Source organism: Homo sapiens, chromosome 10 (genome assembly GCF_000001405.40).
Source record: "Homo sapiens chromosome 10, GRCh38.p14 Primary Assembly".
Taxonomy (NCBI): domain Eukaryota; kingdom Metazoa; phylum Chordata; class Mammalia; order Primates; family Hominidae; genus Homo; species Homo sapiens.
The window spans coordinates 96,149,009-96,173,611 of record NC_000010.11 but is presented as its reverse complement, the minus strand read 5'-3'; the positions used below and the strand labels follow the sequence as shown (position 1 = coordinate 96,173,611).

At 36.7% G+C, this 24,603-nt stretch overlaps 1 protein-coding gene across 53 annotated transcripts in view; it reads right to left on the bottom strand.

The window, feature by feature from the left end:
• ZNF518A (zinc finger protein 518A) overlaps window positions 1-24,603 on the bottom strand; it is a 75,577-nt gene that overhangs the window by 31,680 nt on the left and 19,294 nt on the right. For 12 of the 53 annotated variants that reach the window (XM_047426052.1, XM_047426064.1, XM_017016994.3 and 9 more), the window contains 3 exons: window positions 18,236-18,286; window positions 17,565-17,688; window positions 9,851-17,415 (listed from right to left, as the gene is read on the bottom strand). The exons of 1 other annotated variant lie outside the window; for it this stretch is intronic. In XM_047426052.1, the coding sequence (XP_047282008.1) occupies window positions 12,838-17,289 (4,452 nt within the window). In that variant the 5' untranslated portion in view covers window positions 17,290-17,415; window positions 17,565-17,688; window positions 18,236-18,286 and the 3' untranslated portion in view covers window positions 9,851-12,837. Of the gene's footprint in view, window positions 1-9,850; window positions 17,416-17,564; window positions 18,287-22,045; window positions 22,869-24,603 lie in introns of those variants that run through there. 40 more of the 53 variants (XM_047426046.1, XM_011540413.4, XM_024448265.2 and 37 more) reach the window with 10 other exon arrangements.

The following is a 24,603-nucleotide window of genomic DNA, read 5'->3' as shown; positions in this document are numbered from 1 at the left end:
CTGTTATTAGGTGCATATATGTTTAAAATTGTTATAGCTTCCTGATGAGTTGACACTTTTACTGTTATAAAATTTCCCTCTTTATAGTTAATAATGTTTTTTGAAAATAAATTCTTGTTGTTTCATCCCCTCAGTCTATGGTATTTTGTTATGGCAGCCCAAAATGACTGAGACAACATGTTTTTCCATTTTTAAAATTTCAACCTACTAATATCTTTGAGTCTAAAGTGTAGCTCCTGTAGACAGAATGATTTGTTCAGATTCATGGGACAAAAACTAGAACTGTGATCTCCACAGAGGGTGCTGGTGAAATCAGCTCTCTTGGTCAGGGGTTGTAAAAAGCCCTGGTTTGTACCTGTTGCCAATTTCCATAATATAAACAGTTGTCTCTTAGCCTCCATGGGGGACTGGTTCTAGAAGCTCTTGTGGAAACTAAAATTATGGATGTTCAAATCCCTTATGTAAAATGGCATAGTATTCACACATAACCTACAAATATCCTCCTGTATATTTTAATCTCCAGATTACTTATAATACCTAATACAATGCAAATGCTATCTAAATAGTTGTTATACTGTATTGTTTAGGGAATAAGAAAAAAAGTCTGTACATGCTCAGACACAATCATCATAAGCCTAACTACATTTTTGATCCATGATTGATTGAATCTGCAGATGTAGAACGCACAGATATGGAGAGTTTACTGCACATGAATCTTATTTATCCAGTCTGAAAATTTCTGCCTTTTGATTGGACTGTTTAATCCATTCACATTTAATGTTATATTAATATAGTTGGATTTATGTCTACCAGTGTGCTTTTGTTTTTTATAGGTTTCATTCCTTTTTTGTTAATTTGTTTCTCCTTTACTGTTTTCTTTGGCTATTTTAAAATAAATTTTAATCCCTTTAATGATGTTTTATTTTTGAGGAATTTTCTTAGTGGTTGCTCTAGGGCTTACAATATACATCTTTATCAGAATCTATTTCAGATAAATACAAACTTAATTCCAGTGAAATATCAAAACTTTACTACTATATGGCTCTGTTCCCTCCCCCACCTTATTGTTACACACAATAGGTTTACATGTTACAAACCCAAGAATAAACTGTTATACTTATTAATAATTTTGTGTCTTTTAAAGGTAATTTAAAAAGAACAAGTATATATTTATAGAGTTTTTCATATGAGCCTTCTTATTTACTATTATGGTTCTTTTCACTTCTTCCCGTGGATTTGAGATACTCTCTGGTGTCATTTCCTTACTGCAAAATAGCTTTATTCCCATCTACTTTCCTTGTGTTGTTATAACATTTCTGCTATTGGCCCCAAAATACAATTATATGCATAATGTTTTATTTGATTGCCTTTTAAGAGAAAGGAAAATAAAGATGCAATTATATTCTCTTTTATACTTACTTACTTTCATGTAATGTCTTTCTTTTTTCCTGTGAATTCAAATTATTCTCGACATCATTTGCTTTCAGTCTTAAGAACTTTTAGTATTTACTGAAAGGTAGGTTTGCAACAAATGAATTCTCATTTTGCTTATTTGAAATATCCATTTTGCCTTCAATTTTGAAAGACAGTTTTGTTTCTATTTCAAAACTTTGAATATGTTATCCACTTCCCTTTAGCCTTCTTGGTTTTGGGGAGAAGTCAGCTATTAATCTTATTGGGGGTTCCATGCATCATTTTTCTTATGATAATTTCAAGATTTTTTTTTTGTCTTTCAACATTCTGACAATAACATGTCTACTTTTGAATCTCTTTGCATTTATCCTACTTGGAGTATGTTGAGCTTCTGAAAATATGTTTTTCACCAAACTTGGGAAGTTTCTAGTCATTATTTCTTTGACTACTTAAAAAATTTTTCATTACACATATGTTGCCCTTAATGGTGTCCCACATTATACATGTGTCTATGTGTGCTTACTATCATTTGCATACCATATAATTCACACATATAAAATGTACACTTCAATGGTTTCTTAGTGAATTCCCAGAATTACACAACAATCACAATTTTAGAACATTTTTATCACTCCTTGTCCTTTAGCAGTCCCCTCTGTATTTCCTTTAAACACCTTTAGCTTTAAGCAACCACTACTAATCTACTTTCATTCTTTGTAAATGTGCCTATTCTTGACATTTCATATGAATGGACTCATGGTTTTGTTACTGGCTTCTTTCACTTAACCTAATGCTTCCAACATTCATCCAAGTTGTAGCATAAATTACTATCTCATTTATTTTTATGATTGAATAATATTCAATTGTATAGATATACACATTTATTTATGCATTCATCAGTTGATGGACTTTGGGTTGTTTCCACTTTTAAGGCCACTATGAATAATACTGCTATTAACATCCTTGTATAAATTTTTGTGTGAACACCTGTTTTAAATTATTTGGGGTATATACTTAGGAGAAGCAGCTCTGGGCCACAGGGTAACATTACATGTAACCTATTGAGGAAGTCCCATACTGTTTTCCAAGATGGCTGTACCATTTTGCATTCCCACCAACAGTGTATGAGGGTTCCAAACTCTTCCTGGCCTCATCATCTGGGTTTTTTTTTTTTTAGTGGTATCTCACATGGTTTTGGTTTTCATTTCCCTAATGACTAATGATGTTGCGCATCTTTTCATGTGCTTTTTGGCCATTTGTATATCTTCTTTAGAGAAATGCTATTCAGATCTTTTGCCCACTTTAAATTGGGTTACGTCTCCTAAGTTGTAAGGGTTCATTATTCTAAATTAAAATGCATAATCAGATGTATGATATACAACATTTCTTCCCAATCTGTGGGTTGTCTTTTCACTTTCTTGATGATATCCATTGAAGCAATATTTTTCAAATTTCGATGAAGTTAAATTTATCTATAATGTGGTGTCAGTGAAAATAGCAAAGACTTTGAAATTCTGCCCTAACATAAAAGCAATTAAAAGTCTGGCAAACAAACTGTCACAATCAACTTTTTTGGAACTTTTTAAACTAATCAAAAGCTTTTAGCATCCCAGGAAGTGCTTACCCAAGAAAAATGGCTGAATCTCAGAACAACAGCTTTGTGGTATTTTAAGTTACTCTAGTCTCATTCTCCACTCCTCACCTCAGCAACAGCACTGTAAATAACAGCCCTCATTCCCAGTACTAGAGGAAGAACAGTCTTCAATCACAAAATACCTTAACTATTTATACTGACCTGTCTGGTGGCTCCCTGGAAGTCCAGCTCAGAAGGCCTGTCTTTATTTTGCCTAACTTGGAGTTGGTCCAGAGCTAAAGTTGCTAACTAGGGGTAATGTTTAAAATATTAGCAGCCAAATGCTTTATTTGCTGCTGCCTGGGGTGACAGATAACAACTGGGGCAGGCAACAGACTAACCAAAAAGCTTGGAAGAAAAGCCTGGGAAATGAGATGTCCATAGGGACTTTGTAAAGCTTTAACATACTCCTGAGAATCTAGAAGGTCACACTCATGCCCAGGGCTGTACGTGTGCTTAGAAAAGATGTGAGAAGGCACTAAACTCTCACAATGGCCAACCTGGAGGCTGAAGGTGAAGGCAGAGTTGTAAGCCACCTGGCTGAATGTTGATGTGTCACAAAAACACACAAGTCCCTTAGCAAACACTGGAAGATTTATTCATTCCAGGTGTTTATCTCTGTCTACTTATTAGCTGACCATTAAACTCACAGAACAAAGACTTTCATGGCCACAAATGGCAAAGAATACAAGCATTACAAAATCAGTTCAGAAAAGTCACTAGACAACAAGTACAAAACACGGTAAGAATAACAAACCTGAGAGGTTGGAGGGGAGAATCTGATTTTCAGTTGTCACATTACAAAATTCATACTTTTAAATTCTTCAACAACAAAAAAAATGAGACATGCAGAGCAAAGTATGACCCATACATAGAGAAAAAAGCATTCAGTAGAAATTATCCCTAAGGCACTGTACATTTTGAACAAAGACTTCAACTCAGCTATCTTAAATATGTTCAAAGAACTAAAAGAAACCATGTTTAAAGAACTAAAGAGAATTACAGCTTAACCAAATAGAGAACATCAATAAAGGGATAGAAATTATTAAAAGAACCAAATTGAAATTCTACAGTTGAAAAGCACAGTAACTGAAATAAAAATTCAATAAAGGGGCTCAACAGCAGATGTAAGCTAGCAAAACAAAGAATCTGTGAACTCTAAGATTGATCAGTTGACATACAGTCTGAGAAACAGAAAGAAAACCAAAAAACGAACAGAGCCTGAAAGACGTGTATGATACCATGAAGAATATCAGCATATGGCCAAACACAGTGGCTCACACCTGTAATCACAGTGTTTTGGGAGGCCAAGGAAGGAGGATTCCTTGAGGCCAAGAGTTCAAGACCAGACTGGGCAACACAGTAAGATTCTAACTCTACAAAAATTTTTTTAAAAGTTAGCTGGGCTATTTGGGAGGTTGTGGTGGAAGGAATGCTTGAGTCTAGGAGTTCAATGCTGCAGTGAGCTATGACTGCACCACTGCACTCCAGCCTGGGCAACAGAGCAAGAACCAGCCTCTCTAAAATAAATAGATAAGTTAGTAATAATACCAGCATACCCATAGGATGAGTCTCAGAAAGAGAGAAAAAAAGAGAATTCATCAGGGAGAATATTTGAATAACTGAAAACCTCTCAAATTTAATGAAATAAAAATGAGATTTAACAAAAATTAATCTACCATTCTACAAAGCTCCAGAATCTCCAAGTAACATAAACTCAAAAATATGCATACTGGCACATCATAGTCAAACTGTTGAAAGACAAGGACAAAAAGAGAATCTTGAAAGCAGCAAGACAGAAAGAAGTGAGTCATCACATCCAAAGGTCCTCAGGAGAATTAACAGCTGATTTCTCATCAGAAATCACGGAGGCCAGATGGCAATGGGATGACATATTAGAAGTGTTGAATGGAAAATTAAAAAGAAAACAAAACTGTCAACCAAAAATTCTATATCCAGCAAAGCTATTCTTTTAAACAGAAAAATTAAGATATTCATAGATAGACAAAAGCTGAGTTTGTTGCTAGCAGAATTGCTCTACAAGAAAAAAAAAGCTAAAGGGAGTATAAAGCTAAAATGAAAGAACTCTAGACAGTAACTCGAACTCACATGAATGAAAAAAAAAAAACACTGGAAAGGTAAATATATTCACCAGCACAAATAAACATAAGACAATGTATTTTTTTTTTAATTTGGAACACAAATGCTTTATTTAAGGGTGCATCACAATTCCCGTGTGGTGAGCAAAAAATAAAATAAAGGAGCAGATCGTAGCACACCATTCCCACTGGCCAAGTGGTTGAACCCTGCATCCAAGACCCAGTGAGCAGCCAAGTGAGGTGCAACCTCTGGGCCTCTCACTCATGACTCCAACAGAATTAGCACATTGCCCTTGTGCATGGGGCCTTTTACATTGCAGATTTTGGAGCAGCAAGACAATGTATATCTGTTCGTAACTCTTGTTCTTCCCTCCTGATTTTTAAAACTGCGTAATTATAAAACTATGTTGATGGACATATAATTATTATAAAGATGTAGTTTGTGACAATAACAGCATGGGCAGAATGAAGGCATATAGAGCAAATTTTTCATTACTGAAATTAAGTTGAGATTAATCTGAAACAGATAAAACAGACTTGTTTTACAACCTCCTGTAATAAAAACGCTGTCTTTTAAAACAAATTATCTATTGCACTTTTTTGTTTTTGGTGTCACAGCTATGAAAGCTTTGCCTAGAGAATTATCACAAATACTTACATTTTTTGTAAGTTTTACAGTTTTTGCTTGTATTTAGGTCTATGATCCATTTTGAGTTAATTTTTGTGTACATAGTGTGAAGAACACTTTTTCTTCAAACTTTTTGTTTCAGATTGCATATCCTCTATCAATCTGCAGGTTTGCTGATTCTTTCTTCTGCCATCTCAAATCTAGTATTGAGCCTTTCTAGTAACTTTTAAAATTGTAGTTATTGTACTTTTCAACTCCAGAATTTTCATTTAGTTCTTTAAAAAAAATTTCTATCTCTATGTTCTCTACTTGGTGAGACATTAGAATACTTTCCTTAATTCTTCACATCTGGCTTCCTTTAGTTCTTTGGGTTTACTTATTTATTTTGAGGTGGAGTCTCGCTGCCTCCCAGGCTGGACAGCAATGGCGCAATCTCGGCTCACTGCAACCTCTGCCTCCTGAGTTCAAGCGATTCTCCTGCCTCAGCCTCCTGAGTAGCTGGGACTACAGGCGCCCACCACGCTTGGCCAATTTATTTTTAGTAGAGACGGGGTTTCACCATTTTGGCCAGGCTGGTCTCAAACTCCTGGCCTCAAGTGATCCACCCACCTCAGCCTCCCAAACTGCTGGCATTACAGGCATGAACCACTGCACTCAGCCTTTTGAACATACATTTGTAACAGCTGCTTAGCATTTATCCTAAATTTGGTATCCCTCAAAACTTTATATTTCCTACATTTCTCTGTCATATAGGACACATACTTTTCTGTTTCTTTGCATATCTCAATTTTTGTGTTGAAACTGGACATTTTAGGTAACACAGATCTCTGCATACTGATCATCTTCCTTTAGTGACTTGGCTTGACTAATTAATGTATGGCTTGAAGACTGCTTTCACTACTTAAGGAGTTTACAAGTTTGCCCTTCATTTGGCCAGGAACTTGTAGTTTAGAAGTTCTCTCTGGTCAGTCCTCTGAGATGGCAGCCTTCAGCATGCACAGTCTTCCTGATCACAAGGGATGTCTGTAGTTTTATCTAGGTTGTCTCTTTCCCTGATCCTTTCTTTCTTTTTGAGACAGAGTCTCGCTCTGTCGCCTAGGCTGGAGTGCAGCGGTGCGATCTCGGCTCACTGCAAGTTCCGCCTCCCGGGTTCACACCATCCTCTTGCCTCAGACTCTCGAGTAGTGGGACTACAGGTGCACGCTGCCATGCCTGGCTATTTTTTTGTATTTTTAGGAGGGACGCAGTTTCACCGTGTTAGCCAGGATGGTCTCGATCTCCTGACCTTGTGATCCGCCCGTCTCGGCCTCCCAGAGTGCTGGGATTACAGACTGAGCCACCGTGCCTGGCCTCCCTGATCCTTTCTTTAAGCTTCTGGTTATCTATTGGAATGACCTGGCAACTGTTGAACCTCCACTGTTACTGATTGCTCTACTGTTTTCTACAATACTCTGAAGTCTGTTACAAATAAAGTCAGGCCCTGTGACAGTTAATTTTCAGTGTCAACTTGAATGCATTAAGGAATACCTAGACAACTGGTAAAACATTATTTCTGAATGTGTCTGTGAGGGTGTTTTCAGAGACTGGTATGTGAGCCATTACACTGAATGGGGAAGATTTGCCCACAATGTGATTGACGCACAATCCAAACAGCTAGGAGCCTGGACAGAAGGAAAAGAGAAAAAGCTAATTCTCTCTCCACTAACTTCCTCCCCCCACGCCTAACGCCATACCCCAGGAGCTGAGACAGCTTTATTTTCATGCCCTTGGACATCAGAACTCCAGGGTTTCAGGCCTTTGGATTCGAGGACTTACACCCGTGGCCCCTTGGTTCTCAGGCCTTCTATCTCAGTCTGAGAGTTACACCACCAGTTTTCCTGGTTCTGAGGCTTCTGGACTTCGACTGAGTCATGCTACCACCATCACTACGTCTCTAGCTTGCAGACAGCCTAGTGTGGGACTTCCTAGCCTCCATAATTACATAACCTAATTCCCTCAAGACATGCCCTCATATTGGTTCTGTATCTCTGAAAAACCCTAATTCAGGCCTCTTGTAATAATGTGTTGTCAGTTTTTGAAGCTTACTCCAACCCTCCACTGAACAGAACCTCTGTACCTTTATGCTATGGAACAGCTGGAGGATAGAAAGAATGGTAAATCAGCTCTTCAGTGAATGCCCAAACCACAATCCTCCCTGTAAAGCAGCTCTGTTAGAGGAAGAGGGTAATGGGGGTAGGGGTGGGGGACAAAGTTCTAAAAATGTAATCTGCTAAGCAGGTATATTTAGTCTTCCACTCAGAAATACTATGTATCTCCCAGTTATATCTTACAGGTTTGGTTTGGTGTCTGTTTTTTTTTTTTTTTTTTTGGTTGTTGTTGTTTTTTGGCAGGCTTGTATTATTTTGTGCCTCTTATTATAGACGGGTCTTACTGGCTGGGCATGGTGGCTCATGCCTATAATCCCAGACTTTGGGAGGCCAAGGCAGGTGAATCACTTGAGGTCAGGAGTTTAAGACCAGCCTAGCCAACATGGTGAAACCCCATCGCTACTAAAAATATGAAAATTAGCTGGGTATCGTGGTGGGCACCTGTAATCCCACTACAGGAGCGGTACTTGAACCCGGGAGGCAGAGGCTGCAGTGAGCCAAGACTGTGCCACTGCACTCCAGCCTGGGGAACAGAGTGAGACTCCATCTCGAAAAATAAATAAATGGGTCTTCTTTTATTGTTCCCCAGTTGATTACTGTTAATTGTTCAGGAAAGTAACTAATTTTCAGTGTACTCCTTTAAACTTCCAAGATATTAAAAGCAAGTCATCTACAAGAGTATTTTGGTCTCTCTCCCAAATTTAACTTTCATTTTGCTTTCCTATTCTTTGACATTAGCAATAGCTTATGATGTAATTGATGATCGCAGGCAACATTTCACTCCTTAATTGAAAGATGTATTTCATGAGTTGCCACATAAACATAACCCTTACTTTTGGTTTAAGCACTTTGAAGTATATGGAAAAATTCTTATTTTAACACATTAGAAATGTCTTTACTAGGAAAAAGTATTTAAATTAAGCACATTCTTGGCATCTCCTAAATTCATGACTTCTAAAATTGATGTACATTATATTTTTTCCACACTATTTACTTGAAAGTTTCCACTCTTGTAACAATTATTCTCGTTTTAAAAAGATTCCTAAATTTGGAGGCATTAACAGAAGCTTTGTTAAACTAGTCAAAAAGCACCTCAAAGATGACTTCATGAAATACTTCCTCCAAGATACTAATTACTTCTCAATTCTCCAGTTATTAAGAGAGGCATACATAAATTAATAAACATCAAACTCAACCATTTCAACTCTCCATTACAGGAAAAAGTTTCCACTAATGCCATACTCTGCTAACTAGCAACAAATACCACCCTGAAAAATCCCCCCAGTAAGTTTTGCTAGATGAGATCCCCAATGGGTCAAGGTAGTATGCTGAGAGCAAGGATCCTAACAAGTTGCTAAGGCAAAGAACAGAGCCAACGCCCCAAATGGCTCTGTTAAGAAAGTTAAGGAAGGAAGTAGATGTCAATGGTGAAAAGGAATCTTATTTTTAAAAAATCAAGATAAGCTGTATGGAATTAGTATATAATATTCTGTTTTTAATTCACCTCCATTTTCTCCCACCCCAAGAACTTCTATTACTTTTTCTTAACAGCTATTTCAAATCACTGAAAGAATATCTAAGTCCTTTTCCCATCTAACCTGGACATAAATTCTCACAGCATTTCTGCTCTATCTCATTTTTAATCCCTTCATAAGTTGCACTACTCTTAGCACACAAATGACCTATTTTACCCACTAACCATTTTCATTACATTTACAGTCTCTTCACTGTTATACAAATACATCTATACTAGAAACTTTATATACATATTTTAGTTCGTACTTTGTAGCTCTTTTACACAGGTGAGGTACATCACGAAACTTATCAAGCTTGTTTTTTTAAATAAAAATCCCATTCTGAAAGCAGACTCTAGGGAATTCAAGCAACAGTCAGTAAACTATGTCTGGTGGGCCAAATTCAGCCCACTTCCTGTTTTTATAAATTGTTTTATTAAAACATAGCCACACTAATTCATTTACATATTGTCTATGGTTTTTTTCTGCATTATGAGAATTGAGTAGTTAGGACAGAAACTAGAAGGCCTACGAAGCTTATTTATCTGACCCTTTATTGAAAAAATTTGCTAACCCCCCAATGAAAATATTTTCCATTAAAAAAACTATTACATTTCAATTTGTGTTACTGAATACTTAGCAAGATAAATTCTTTGAAAACTGAATTATGTTTTTTAAGTACTTGCCAAATAGTAAGAAACCCATTTCAGTGGAGATGGACAAACTAGAAAAAATAAAACAAATTCCTCACACAGAAATTCAACTGCAAAACTAAAACTAACTCTTCAATTGTAATAAGAACCTCGAACTACTGAAAATCATATTTTGGAAAGCCCTCTTTGGAAAGCCACACACAAAAAATAAAGGATACAGGCTTTTGTTTTGGATTTTCTGCAATGGCAATAATGAAACTCTAAGCAGGTCTGCCTCCCTCAGAATAACTTAAGTTAACAAAATCAGAAAAAGTTCCAACTAGAATATCTGGAGCACAAAGCTTACTTTAAATGGCTGTTAAAACTTAAAGGCAAGAAGTACATATCTCGACATTATTTTCCTGATATGGCTATTCTGAAATGTAATGTTATAGTGCTGCGAATATTAGCAGGAAAGTTCCTTCTCTCTCCTTGCTATTTACAGCAGGTGATGTCTCATAACAGATCTATATGTAACAAACAGAGCATTTTAATTTTATTGCTGTTAGGGTACTGAAGACTATAAGCCTCTCTATGGCTCACCTTGCCAGCATAACCATAGTAAAATTATGGTATATGTTACCTTTCTTAAACAATATATCATCTATGATTTTGGGAAGAAAAAAAATCCCACACTTTTATCTATCTTGTAGAGTTAACTAGCATTGAAAAAACACATACACTTTAAAATCTGTATTTCCTAGAGAACAAAATTTCCATCAGATTTTAGCACAGTAAAAAAATTATTGTGTAAACACAAACAAGATAAATTTAATTGAAAATGTTCATTACAGAAATTAACAATGCTTACCATTCTTTAAACACCATGTACATTATTAATATATACTGTATATTTCCAATTAACTCCATTCTTAGGCTCAATTTAAGAAACACAATTGTAACATTTTATACAAAAAATACTTCACTAAGAAAGTAGACAAACTGCACAAAACAGTACAAGTATAATGTGCATAGCAAGATAGCTTGAAGCATTCTATGTATGGCTTTCTTTAAAAATAAAACTATTAGGGGAATGGGCCCATTTGGGACCTACTGTTACAGTTGACATATGTAAACTGTTTCACATCTTTTTTAGGCACTTGCTAACAATAGTGTTCAATCCCTGAAGAACGAATTTACCTCAAAAACAAAATCTACATCTGAAATAAAAACCAAGAAAATAACATGGGTAAAGTCTTATATATTCCTTTTAAATTAAACAACCAGTTTTATTAGTGCATGCACTGAACTAAACTGAAAGAAAATAAACTTATGCCAAAAATTTCTGTGCAAAATTTACATAAAAGGTACAAAAATATGTACAGACTTAATTTGTTATATACAGAAAAGAAGCCCTGAAGTTTTCATCCATTAATGAAAATGTCATTAACACTTGTAACAATGTAACAAAAAATCATATAGCACGTAATTTGTTAACACAAGAACTCCATTATCCAAAGAACCAGCAAAATTTGATCCAAACTTACAAGGTGAAAAATCTAAATCTATGATTCTGTTGTCATCATGAAAACATCCATTTTAAAACTCTGTTGGGCATGTCCCTTAGGAATCTATCCTAAGGTTTTATGCACTGCCTCTGGGTCCACTATTGATGCTTCCTTTTGCAAATGCCAACAATCTGTATATATGTTTTGGGTTGTCAGTCACACTGAGAAGCAGCTAACAGAAATGCTTTGTCCTAATTTGGACATGTTCAAATAATAAAGTGAATACAGACAAAAATATGATCTTGCTTCAAAATACTGTTTTGGTAAACAATTTTAATTTTCAAGAAAAGCCACTCCCTTGGAAGTGCTCCTATGTTCCACTCTTTTTAAAGGGATGGGAACCAAGAAGAAAAAAATGGCCATTTGTTTATGGAGGACAAACATGAGATAAGCATAGTTCTGTGCAAAGGGATCATCAGAGAATATAATCAAATTTAGAAATATGTTCAAGTTCTTTAACCAAACTTTCAATGAGACAAAGAGTTTAAATTCTTCTCTTGAAGCTGCCCATCTACTGCAACATTTGACACAGTCACTTAGAAAAAGAAAATCACCTTGGGAGAGTGTTCCCAATCTCTAACAAGTGACAGAGTTCAACTGGAAAAAAAATTTACTTGCCAAAAACTCTTCAAGCATTGTATGAGGTGTAACTGTAGTGAGTTAAATGTACTTTCAAGGAGCCTAATATCCTTCAAAATAACTATATTTAGCAGATATAGAGTGACTTCTTTACCCAGGTTCTCTCAAAGTATCTTCACAAATGTGAGAAACTCCTTCAGTTCTACGATGAAAGAGCTCTCCATCTCCAGAGGAGCTACACTTAGATGCATAAGGCTGGTGGAAGAAGAGAGGGAATGGGGGTGTCAGCCATTACCCTCTACTAAGAGTCACTAAAGAACTAAAGTGGGAAAATTGTTTTATCAAAATTTTCTTTAGCCCTAACTTCCCGAGAACACGTTTAAAAAATTAAATCAAGGTACTTCTGTGCTGTGATTAGTTTCTTTCAAAACTTTTGAGTGCAGGGATAGCATTTTCAAATATCATACATACAACTTTTACTCTTCCACAGAAATACAATCAACTTTTAAAATGTTCGATTTCAGGTACTATACTGAAGTAGAAAATGTCTGCATTATGGTAACTGAACCCGTTGTTTTCTTCTAAGGTAATTTTACTTTTCTTTTCCTTGGTAATTATGGTAAACTATTCTAACATGTTCCAATCCCGAGTAGCTTCCATTAAATGTCTCTGCCCATGACCAGCCCAAGTATCCTGATTGTCAAATACTCTACCACAAAACCAACAGTTAAATTTAGCCTTCAAAATATTTTCAGAGGTAGTCTTCACAATCTGGTAATTGTTTTTGCTTGTCTTTTTGAGTGTTAATTTTAGCACAAATCTTTCTTTCACAGAACTAACAGGTTTAAATGTTTTGTGCCTCTTGGAAAAATCATCATAAGTTGTTTTAGGAGGGTTATAACAAACTGGTTTCAGTAAAGCATTTATAGTTCTTTTTGACAATGAAACCTTAAGTACATGTCCATTAAATTTAGCAATAGTTTTCATTACACTTACTACTTCTGGTGCATCTGCGTCAGGATGATTCAAAACTACAACTGGTTGGTTTCTCCTAGGACATTTCACAAGCTGTTTAGAACTAAAAGGGAAAAGCCGCAAAGTTCTGATGGAATCTTTTGAAAGCCTAGGTCTGCTAAATCCAAATGTTTCACGGACATCTTCAGGTTTTGCCTTTTCTTTACACTTTCTATGCAATGTTGCTTTTCTTCTTGGAGGTTCTTGGTAACTATCCCTACACTTTCGTTTACAGTTTCTGTTTCTAGATACAAAGGCAGTTTCAGAGTCTTTACTTCCATGAGTTTTTGTTTTTGAAAAAATTTTTTTGGAAGTCTTTTTTCTATTGAAGTTCCTCTCAATTCTACAATTTGTTTTACACCTTAATACCCTGGACTCTGAACAGTCACTGACACATATTGGTTCCTCAGAAGATTCTGGGCATGTTGCAGTAGAAGTTATCACAATTTCATTTGCTGGCATTAAGTCATCTAGTAAGAAGGGTAAGGCATCTCTAGATTCTGGCTCTTTCTGCTCTCCTCCTATAATCTGATTAGATGGTACGTTGTCTTTTTGCAATGAGGATGCAGAGTTGCTTACTGACAGATTATTAGCAGCAGTCACATTTAAAACAGGGTTAAAAATTTTCAGCAATATTCTTTGTGGTGTTCCTTCAGGTTTCTTTGGCTGTATATTTTGATAAGTACTATTTTGGACTAATTTGGGCTTAAGCAGCTCAGTTTTATTTGGCATCACACACTTTAAAAAAACAGCTTGTTTGCCATCAGGCAAGAAGGTATAAAGAGGTGGTTTTGGAAAAATCTCATTCTGCTGTTTTACTGAATCGGAGATATTCAACTTAGTGCTCTGTTGCTCAGATAGCATGTTAGGAATAAGAACAGCTTTCACAGAACTCGTTGGTTTCAAAATGTAAGGGCCTTTTAATGGCAAAGTATTTTCTGAGCTACTTTTCATGCTCAAACAACTGCCAATGCTGGAACAAAGTCCAGGTGTAAGACAATTATTGTTTGGTTCTACCTTCAAAATAGGTGTTTTGCAAGGCTCCTTAGTCACAGTTCCACGAGCTGGGGCACCCTCGGTTTTGACAGCGGAAACACCTTCAAGTTTCCCATTATTAAGTGTTAAAACCATCCCAGGTTTCTTGTTTACAAAAAGAGAAGCAGGGATACCTTGTGAATTAACCAATGGAAGTGCATTTCCAGGAATAACTGGTAGCCCAGGCTTGTTAGTAATGTTCAATGGTATTAAGAATCCTTTTGAAGTCTGAACAATTATAGTTTTTTTTTGTTCTGAATTTAAAAGTGGACTCTGCATATAAAAAGAACCTAAATTTTGTGTGGTGGCTCGTAGTTTGTCTTTTACAAGCTGCTGTGTTATTATCGCATCTGACTGAGTCTTAAGTAATGTGCCAAAACCTGAAATTCTAGGCATCTTCTCTGAATCTCTCACATCTTGTGGTATTGATGACACTTGTTTTTCTTTTCCAAATTTCAAATTCAAATCATTTGTAGGCACATTAATACCCACACTGCCAGGTGGAACTGGGAAGATGCCTTGCACTTTGAAATCTTTCGAAGATTCAACAATTTTGCCTTCTCTCTCGTGTTTTTGAAATGACTGGTCACAATGAAGTGGCAAGCCTTTATTTGGAGTGTTACTAGAGTCTTGTTTTACATCAGGTTTTATTTTCAATACATCCTGAAGCAATTGGTTTACTTCAGGTGGCAGAAATTCTGATGCCTGTTGGCTCTGGAGAGAGAAAACAGATGTGATTCTAGGCATCATAGGTGAATCGACATTAGAAAAGTCTTCCCATTTAGATTTTTCAGTCGCACACTCTAAATTTTGATTTTCATTACTGTACAGGTTTTGTCCATCAATGTTTTGTCCTTTTTCTAAAACATACTGTTCTTCAATTTCAGATTTTGCTTTTAAAGTTCCATCTTTATCATTTAAAAGGCTAATAGATGCTAATAGGCTATCTGGTTTTGAGCTCTCCTGCCTCACTAGTGATAAAAATGATTCACTAATTGGTTGTTGGACAACTGTTTTGCTGGATGAAGATTCTCTTTGAGGGTTTTCATACACTGCTGTTCCTGAAAACCTACGACGTTTATTAGAATTATTCACTTTTGAGTAATTATGAAAAGGTAATGATCCTTGGTTGGAGGATTCAACAGGTAACTCACAGTTGCCATAATTAATGCAATAATTATGCATATCTCCACTGTTGTATGCATTTGGTTTGGCAACACAGTTGACTTTATCTGGACTTTTAATGGTGGTACCTAATACCTCGGGGTGACTCTGAGTGAGATGATTTCCCCAGAAGTCAACATTATCTCTTGTTTCAAATTTTGTGGTCAAATTCACTGATGCTGTAACCAATTCTGATGTTGCTGACAAAGAAGATACACTTTTCTCATAATCCATTGTTTGAAGCATATTATTCCTTTGAGATATCAAAGTCATTTCTTTTTCTGAACTTGCTTTCCCTGAAAGTATAGAAGATGAACATGAAAATGGAGTAGCTGCTTTCATATAAACTGTGTCATTTAACTCAGTTGTTACTCCTGTTAAAAATCCATTAGTGTCCAAAGTCTGGGGCTGCAAATTAGCAGTACCGTCCTTTGCAGCACCTGACTGTGAGCCTGGTGAACATACATTTTGTTTGATAGGCACCAATTTTAATACAATATGCTGTTTTCCATCCATCATCTTGAAGCCCATAAACGTAGCATTATAGTTAGGGGAAACTGCTAGTTTATTATTTTTCATCATTACATTTTTCAGTGTAGGTCCTAGTACAGCAGTCTTCATGAAACCTGAACTAGCGTTTGGTCCCTCTTCAGCTCTATTACCTTGCCCAGTGGACAGAGGAGTTGGCTTCTCTGACTCTGATTCAGGGGCTTTATCATTATTCTCACAGTGTAGTCTTTCATCCTTTTCTTCACTTAAATGCTCTTGAACAACATGGCTCTGGTCTTCAGATTTAGTCTGTGTTTTGTTCATTTTCTTAAGCACTTGAGTGTTCTTTTCTATACTTCTGTCACTTCCACTGTTAATTTTCTTACGTTTCCAGAACGTCTTCCTTGATGCACCTATTTTATATCTTTTCAGTATTAGCTTAAGTCCTGCAGAAGTCTTTGCCATTCTTTTTTCATATTTGTCTTTTTCCAGTTTTTCTTTTGCATATAAATGTTCTTTGTGCAAAGTTATAACATGTCTTACAAGGTGTTCTCTCCTGGTGGCACCATAGCTACAATATTGACAAGTGAAGGGAAAAGTACCAGAATGAATATGAAGGTGCTTCTGAAGCTCTCCTTTGGTAAAACATACATGATGACATTTACCACACTTATAATGAATTTCATTATGTCTATGAATGTGCTGAACAAATGTGCCAACATCCTGGGTGGAGAACTTACACTTTTCACATTGAAAATTACCATTAACACAATGTGTGGATGTGAAATGCTTTGTCAAGTTCAGTAAAGTATATACACTCTCATTGTTACAAATGTCACATTTTACTAAAGTGCTTCTATGGGTTCGTCTGTGTTGTTTAAATACCTGAAAGTCATTTGCTGAAAAGTTGCACATTTCACAAGGATATGAAGGTAATTCGCCATGGTGCCACATTTGAAAGTGTTTCTGCAAATCATTTGGGCTATATCGAGTGTTGTCTCGGCATTTTAAACAGCTGAAATTGAGTATTTTTGCAGACATTTTTACACCCTCTTCTTCAGCTCTCTCAGACTTATGAAGCAATGTACACTCCTCTACACAGCTTACAGTCTTTATACTGATAGATTTTCTTGCAGTCTGCTGTTTACTCTGAAATAATTTTCTGTATTTGTCAACTTCATGTTTCAATAGGACTTCATTTGGAATATTTATTTTTGGCAAATCAATTTTCACATTTTTTAGTGCATAATGAATACTTCCTGAAATTTTTGGTTTAGGTGCCGACCTATCAACTATCTCATTTTTCACATCATAATCTTTTTTTAAAGTAGTTTGTTTTTCATCACAAAATAACTGTTTCTGTTCAGATGGCATGATTTAACCAAAAAAGTCCCAATTTCTTTTTTTCTGAAAACTCTTGAAGTTATCTGTAATTTAAACAGGAAACGATACTGTGTAGAGACATCTTCAATATACAGGATTTTTCCCACAATAACTCACCTAAAATTAAACAAAGAATTGAAATTCTCATCACAAAAATAATAGTAAATTCGTATCTGTAAGTTCATTTTGGCACAAAGTAGGAATGTTAATCAAAAACATAAATTAAATATACAAAAGACTTTTTAAGTATTTTAAGAACAGCTTACCAAGAAGTAATAGTTTGAAGTAAAAATAACACTAATCTGGAAGTCAGGAAATGCAAGCTCTAGTTCCAGCTCTGCTGTGTGACCTTGGGAAAACTTCAACTTCTCTGGACCTCAGTTTCCTCATCTAAAGAAAACCACAGTTGGGTAAGTACGCTCAAGCGCTAAGATTTTTATATTAAGGTGATAATACAGTTTTTAAACAAGATTTTAAAAATCTTAGAATCCTAAGAAGTTCCAATTACACACATGTGGTTTATCCATATACTATTAACTTTTTCATTTGCTTAGTTGATCTAATAGCTATTCCCTGTGAGAATCCCAACAGACTTCTCTCCAGATTTTCTATTTCCTTAGTTCCTCAGGGATAATCTACAATTAAAACAAAAGCTTCATTCATCTAACGGAAACAACCAAAGACGGTATCTGCTTATCATTACTAACAAGTTAGAAACCAAACAAAAAGAACAAAAAGGAAGAAATTAAAAAGAACAGCAGCACCATTTCCCTAGTGTAGTCCTAAAGTCCATCTACTCATTACCTTTCTGGTTCCCTACCATTTTGGCTATATGAATTTATATCCTCAGAACTCAAGCCAGATGACAGCAAGGAAAAGCCCTTGGCAGATTAGAACATACCCATCACTACCTACCTGCATTAATTCAAGCACTTACTGGTCATGTTACTTTAGACAAGTCTCAACCTCTGTGTCTCAGTTCCTTCATCTGTAAAATGGGGGGAAAAATTAGTACTTCCCCTATGTCTTTCACAAGGTTGTTGTGAAGATAAAATGAGAAAATATATGTAAAAATATCCTTTAAAGTGCCATATAAATCACAGCTACCACTATTACTCTATGTGATTACCACGTATGGGACATAACAATATATTGTTGAGACAGGAATCTGAATACTGAAGGTTCAGTCATTAATATATCAAACTGTATTATTAGAAAAATTACATGTTTTTAATTTTGTGCTTTATATATATATATATGTATGAATAGACAAAATCAGATAAGCTAAACAAAACATAGTATAAATCACATTAAGCTCCTCATCCATAATGTCTATCCAAAGGTCTCAGCTTTAAACTTCAATTAATCTAAATACCTACAAACTTTACTGTTTTAGAAATCCTTTACTGAGGGAATCATTAAAAGTTGAATTACATATTAAGAGATCTATAATAAATTAATCAGAAGGGTACCAATTATTGAATTGTTTTACATGCCATGACTAATACAGTAAAATGTGAATCCAGAATGGGATGTTTGTCATAAAACTTTAGTATTACAAAGAAAAGGTAACACAAGATGAAGGCCTCATGAAGGGTTTTTAGGGCCCTAAAAGAAGAAAAGCTGAAAAAGTAACTGGAACTGTCAGGAAACCAGGAGAAAAGGCTGAGAAGAATTATCTGATGGCTATTCTTAAACTAAGATGGGGCTTACAGATGATTTCAGAATGACTAGCCAAGCAGAGCACTTGTCTTTCTAGGAGAATGAACTAGACACTAATTGAAGGCTCTACAATCCAACAGTCAGGTTTTAACTCACTGCTTTGTTAAGAGAAAAGAAAAGAAAAAAAAGAAAAGAAGGCAGGAAGGAAGGAAAAAAAAGAAAAGAAGGAGGGAGGGAGGGAGGAGAAAGAAACGAAAGAAGGAAGGAAAGGAAGAAAGGAAGAAAGAAACAGAGAAAGAGAAAGAAAGAAAAGATTGATGACAGGGTCTCACTCTGTCGCTCAGGCTGCAGTGCAGTGGCACCATCACGGCTCACTGCAGGCTTGACCTCCCCAGGCTCAGGTGATCCTCCCACCTCAGCCTCCTGAGAGCAGCAGGGACTACAGGCATGCGCCACCATACCCAACTAATGTTCTGTATTTTTTGTAGAGATGAGGTTTCGCCATGTTGCCCAGGCTGGGTGTAGAAAGAATTATATGAGTTGATTAAAAAGAAAATAGTATTACTAAATCATGTGTTCAGTTCTCCTTCAGGGACTAGGGCAAGAGTGGGGAAATGGAATATATGAAGAGGTAGGAAATCAAACTGTCTAATCTCGTAAGATACTCTAATATGTGACTCAGGAGTCAAAATGGTTGTGAAAACATAACAGACAGCTTTTCCTTCTCTAATAATGCCTCACTTAGACCTTGAGAATAGGATTATTAAAATGTAATACATACTTTTTCTGTTTGTGGGTATCAGAAGATTTTAGGTGCCTAGGAGATGGAAACTCAGTATTTCCACTGCTTATGTCCTATTTCACATTTGACACCTCTTCTGTGCTACTCGAGTTTTCATGTGTTTTCACTAGTTTCAACTTCAAATACAAGGGGTTCAAAAGCTTCATTGGGAACATTTTTGTAAGTCAAAAAAATGGCATAACAGTAAGGATAAAAGAGACCATCTTATTAAGAAATCCACTTAGCCCTTACTTAAGCTTGGTAACTTAAATAAAGCTGAATGTCAATCTTTTTTGTATTTAATGTATGGCATATACAATATGACATTAGAGGAGTTTGTATTTTAGGTAGTTTGGGGTTTGTTATTTGCCCTCAAATTTTAAGTTTCTCTAGAGAGTCTACTATGTCTTCAATTATGTTCAACTTGTTGCATGGGGAAGCAATCTGTGATGGTTAATTTTAGGTATCAACTTGACTGGATTAAGGAATACCTAGAAAACCAGTAAAACATTACTTCTGGGTTTGTCTGTGAGGGTGTTTCCAGAGACCAGGATGTGAGTCAGTAGACTGAGTGGGGCAGATTTGCCTCAGTGTGGGTGGGCACCATCCAACCGGCCAGGGGCCTTGACAGAACAAAAAAGGAGAGAAAAGGATTTCCCCTGCCTCTCTCTTGGAGCAAGGATACTCTCTTCCTCCTGCCCTTGGGCATCAGAACTCCAGGCTCTCTAGCCTTAGGACTCCAGGACTTAGCCCAGCAGCCCTGCTTTAGCCAGGCCTTTAACCTCAGACTGAGAATTGGACCATTGGGTTCTCTGGTTCTGAGGCGTTTGGACTTGGACTGAATCATACTACCAGCATCCCAGGGTCTCTAGTTTGCAGACAACCTCTTACAGGATTTCTCAGCCCCCATAATCACATCAGTCAATTCCCCTAATAAATCCCCTCTCATGTATTTATGTATCTATCAATCAATCTATATATAGTCACATGCTGCATAATTATGTTTTGGCCAACAATGAACCTAATAAACAAATGTGGTCCCATGAGATTTTAATACTGTAATTTTGCTGCATCTTTTCTACATTTAGATACACAAATACTCATCACTGTGTTACATTTGCATACACTATTCAGTACAGTAATACGCTATACAGGTAGCCTAGAAGCAACAGGCTATACCATATAGTCAAAGTGTGTAACAGGTTTACCATCTAGGTTTGTGTAAGTACACTCTGATGTTCACACAATGACAAAATAACCTCATGACTCATTTCTCAGAACGTATTCCCATCGTTAAACAAGGTATGACTGTGTATGTATCTTTCTGGTTCTGCATCTCTGGAGAACTCTTGACTAATACACAAACATGATATCTGACAGCAATTTATACTAAGGTTGCCACGTATGGACAAAAAATGTTGGCATGTTGTGAACGTCTCAACATAAAAAAAGAAAAATTTTATTACAATTGTAATCCTCCAACCTATGAGCTAATGCTCTTTTTACTACAGTCCAATCTCTACCCACCAACAAAGATTGCTGGTTTTACTTATTTATTTTGAGACAGGGTCTCGCTGTCGCCCAGGCTGGAGTGCAGTGGCGTGATCTCAGCTCACTGCAGCCTCAACCTCCTGGGCTCAAGTAATCCTCCCACGTCAGCCTCCCAAGTAACAGGGACTACAGGTATACACCATCACAGTCCGCTAATTTTTGTATTTTTCTGCATAGATGAGGTTTTGCCATGTCGCCCAGGCTGGTGTTGAACTTCTGAGCTCAAGCGATCCACTCGCCTTGGCCTCCCAAAGTGTTGAGATTATAGGTGTGTGCCACAACGTCCAGCCCAGATTACTGGTTTTAAATGTGCTATTTAAACTACTGCCTTCTATATATGTATTATTACAGCATAAGACTTGACCAACATCTCAATAAGTCTTGAAATAATACAATTTTGTAAAAGTATTAAAATAATCTGTAGTTTCCTATATGAACATGGCAACTGAAAACATCTGACTTCCTCCTTCTCCTAACTGCCCATTGAAACAACCAAAAAATATAATTTAAAAACTCCTACAAAATGGCTAGGAACTAGAAAAACATTCCATATACATATGGCAAGGTGTCTGACAGCAAACAGTCTGGTGAGAGGGGAGTAAAAACAAATGCCGACCCACTGCCAAACACCATTTTTAAAAAGGGAGTTCACTAGGAACATTCATCCAATCAATATTTAATGAGGATCTGCCCATTATGCCCAAGTAAGGAAGTGAGAGACATAATTCTGCCTACAACTTCCCCTAAACATACCTTGGAAGATAAAGTGAGGCCTGAGTGAAAAACCAGCTGGAGCCCTTTGGGTGACAGAAGGCTCAGGCTGAGGTACAAGGAAGAAGGAAATGAATCCAGAACTTCAAGCTAGATCCAGAGGCCAGACAGAGTAGGGGATTGCTAGCACCAACTGTTAGGAGAGATGCAAAGAGGACATTATTTCTGAACAAAGACGAATCTTCCTACACCCATGGCTATCTTCCTCTGTTTAAGAGCCCTGTCCTTTCGCTACATAACTGAATTATCTCTACACTGTAAGAAAAATAAATGAGGTTAACTCTCAACTTCCCCTTCTCCTAACAAAAACACTGAGAAAATCTTGGTGTATTCTTTAGGAATTCATCCCACCCAACAATGCCAACAAAAAAGATAAGTAGGCAGAAACATCACTGGATGCAGCAGCTCTAAAAAGAGAAAATAATCTGAACCCTCAGAGAAACCTCTCCCCTGTTCTCCCATCCAGCAGTGACCATAATGAAAGTTACTGCAGTAAGGCTGGGAGTGCTGGCTCACACCTGTAATCCCAGCACTTTGGGAGGCCGAGGGGGGCGGATCACCTGAGGTCAGGAGTTTGAGACCAGCCTGACCAACATGGTGAAACCCCGTCTCTACTAAAAATACAAAAATTAGTCAGGCATGGTGGTGGGTGCCTGCAATCCCAGCTCTTCAGGAGGCTGAGGCTCAAGAATTGTTTGAACCTGGGATGTGGAGGTGGAGACTGCAGTGAGCCGAGATCACGCCACTGCACTCCAGGCTGAGTGACAGAGTGAGACTCTGTCTCCAAAAAAAAAAAAAAAAAAAAGGAAAGAAAGAAAGTTGCTGCAATAAAAAAAAAAAGAAAACTTAAAAAAAAATCAAGTAATAACTAGCAACCTCAGTAAGATCTAGCATATTGAAAAAAAGAGCATACTGACTGTCATAAAAGAGAGAACAAAGTAGATGCGGGAGGAATAATGATTTTGAAAATGAGAAAAAATTGTACCTAAGTTTTTTTTTTTTCCAAAAAGATCTGAATTTTTAAAATCAAACGCTCTCCAAATACCAGGCAAGATTAGAAGCTCAGTATCTACAACTTATTCTTGTAAAAATTTCTAGCTTAAAAGATAAAAATGAAATGCTATCCAAAAAGGTGGGTAATAGTTACCTAAAAAAAGGGATTTTTCATCAGAACACCACCTTTAATCAGACATCAATTTTTTTTTTTTTTTTTCCGAAATGGAGTCTCACTCTGTCACCCAGGCTGGAGTGCAGTGGTGCAATCTCAGCTCACTGCAAGCTCCGCCTCCCAGGTTCACACCATTCTCCTGCCTCAGCCTCCCGAATAGCTGGGACTACAGGAGCCCACCACCACGCCTGGTTAATTTTTTTTTTTTTTTTGTATTTTTAGTAGAGACGGGGTTTCACTGTGTTAGCCAGGATGGTCTCGATCTCCTGACCTCGTGATCTGCCCGTCTCAGCCTCCCAAAGTGCTCAGATTACAGCCGTGAGCCACCACGCCCGGCCCAGACACCAATATTAATCAGACATTTTATTCACAACTCTAAACACGAGAAGACAATGGAGTAACATTTATATAGAGTTCTGAGGTAACCCAAGATTAATTTCACATCCAGAAAAGCTCCCATATGTGAGGGAAAAGCACAATTTTAGATATGCAAAGATTCAGAAAATATACTACATATGTACTCTTTGAGGAAAATATATACATTGAATATAAACATTGTTATTAATATAGTTAAAAAAGCAGAAAAGACTGGATGGAGAAAAAGAACACCTGTGACATCAAATATTTAGAATCCCTTACAGCAGAATTCACAATGGAAAACAGAAGAGGGAGCAATAGCAACAAAATTTTGGATACTGAAAAACAGATAAATGACCTTGCAGACAGCTGGGAAAGCTAGGAACTAACACATTTTACATTCTGAATCTTTACGAGGCCTAAGAACTGCCAGCTTGTGGGAGGAAGGAGGAAGGGGGAAGCTAAAACAGAAAGAAATTTGGAGAAAGTTGGTTGACTTATAGTTGGATGCTAAGATTCTCTTCCCCACTCTATCATGCTATTGGTTACTGTTGTTTCCCCACTACAGAAGTCTAGAGGCTTACTCTCTACAGTGGGTAAAACGAATCTTTGTTTTAGGGGAGACCAGGCACAGGGGAGAGAGTAGGCACTATGCCAAAACCAAGAGGATTAAACGACCATATACATGAGACACAAACCCTCACCTCATATCCCCTTTTTTTCTGCTTCTAAGTTGGCTCCTAGGCGACAGCAATGCTCCTTAAACTATGGTCTGCTGATGGCCCATAAGCCATCTATCACCAGTCCATGACAAGGTAAGTACCAAAACCGAAAATAAACATTTATAAACTTTTCAGAGTTAGACTTATCTGTTGAATCTAATAATAAAAACATGTACTTATGTTTTGTATGTCTTCATTTTTAAAATTTCATTATTCTGGCAATTTATTTTTATTATGCTTTAAAATTATCAGCTGTAACAGATTGAGGTAAAAGAAAAAAAAAATCAGGCCAG